The 1732-nt window shown below is 35.9% G+C and overlaps 1 annotated feature.

The window, feature by feature from the left end:
- Positions 269–328: a silencer, noted in NCBI's record as "silent region_15648". NCBI's record gives its function as "represses an Ori minimal core promoter by ATAC-STARR-seq in GM12878 lymphoblastoid cells {active_cell/tissue: GM12878}" and the evidence as "EXISTENCE:reporter gene assay evidence [ECO:0000049][PMID:35858748]".

The following is a 1732-nucleotide window of genomic DNA, read 5'->3' on the forward strand; positions in this document are numbered from 1 at the left end:
TTTTCATTCTCTACTGGATAATTTAAATCAACATGCACATATACTGTAATATCTCTCACCTACAAAACCCTGCCCTGTTCCTATATCATCTTCTGTTTATATTCTACTCTACTTGTAGCAAAACTCAAGGAATAATTATCTAAACTCATCTTTATTTCCTCTCTTCTCATTCTCTCTTGAACCCACTTCATAAATCTTTCTTCCCCATTTAACCAAAACTACTCTTGTCAAGACCTTTTGTGATCTCTTTGTTGCTCATTTCAACAGTTTACTTTCAGTTCTCAAATTTCTTGACCCCTTCCAACAGAATTAGGCACAGTTAATTAGTCTCTCACTTTTGAACTACTTTTTGTGCTTGGACTTTAGGACAACAAATTCTCCCCTATCTCACTTTTCATTCTTTTCCCTTCTTTTGTGGGTTATCTCTCATTTTTCCAATCTCTAAGCTTTGGAATATCTCAAAGCTCAATTGTTAGAATACCACTCTTTTCTATGTAAACTCATTCCATAAGTGATCTCAATCCAATTTGCTTTAAATGCTATAGATTTCAAGATTCATAACTCCAGCCTAGATTTCACTCTTGTATGTCCAATTATCTACCTGATGTCTCCATTTGAATGTCTAATAGACATTTCAAACATTACATGTCTTAAACCAGACACCTGATTCCTCTATCAATAAACACTAGAATCAGCTCTTTCTGTAATCTTGTCCGTATGTAATTTCTGTTATGCATCATTTGACAATGGGGATATGTTCTGAGAACCATGTCCTTAGGTAATTTCCTAATTGTGCAAACTAAAAGTGTACTTATACAAACCTAGATGTTACAGCCTACTATAAATCTGGGCTATATGGTATGGCCTATTTCTCCTAAGTTACAAACCTGAACAGCGTGAGTGCTGCAGGCAGTTATAACACAATGGTAAGTATTTCTGCATCTACACATGTGTAAATATAATCTTCTGAGACCACCATTGTATAAGCGGTCAATCATTGACTAAAACATTGTTGTATGGCACATAACTGTATACAGTTAATTAAAATTCCATCTCTGCAGTTGTTTAAGCAAAACTCTAAAGTTGTATTTGCCTCCTTTCTTTATCTCACATTCAAACTATCAGCAAATATTGTTGGTTATACCTCAAAATGTATCTTAAATTTGACCATTTTTCAATATCTCCATTGCTACTACTTTGGTTCAAGATACAATACATCTTGCCTGAATTACTGTAAAAGCCTTCAACTGGTTTCCCCACTTGTGCTCTAGACTCCTAGTCTCTCTTTTCCACCTAGCAATCAGTGTGAATTTTTTAAAATAGGTCAGAGTATGTCATTTTTTTTCTATATTCAGTAAAATCCAAAGCCTATTCTCTGACCTTCAGTGCCCTACATAGTCTTCCTCCTGTTACTTCGCTGAATTTAACTACTCCTATTCTCACTTTGTTCACTGTGTTCCAGCCTTACTGGCCTCCTTGCTATTTCCCTCTCACCAAGTACCCACCTAATTTTGCAGTTGTCATTTTCTCGGCATAGGACATAGATAGCCAAGACATAATTTTCTTTTCCCATTTCTTTCTAGTCCTTCTTTAATTGTCACTTTGTTGTGAGACATAACATTCTCCCTAGACCCTATATGTCCATGAAGCTGTCTATGGTACTGGATTATAGTCATCTCTCACTTATTGCCTTAGAGCCTAGGCCTCAGATGGTGACCTAATACCTGCCTTA

This window comes from Homo sapiens, chromosome 4, assembly GCF_000001405.40.
Source record: "Homo sapiens chromosome 4, GRCh38.p14 Primary Assembly".
NCBI classification, from domain to species: domain Eukaryota; kingdom Metazoa; phylum Chordata; class Mammalia; order Primates; family Hominidae; genus Homo; species Homo sapiens.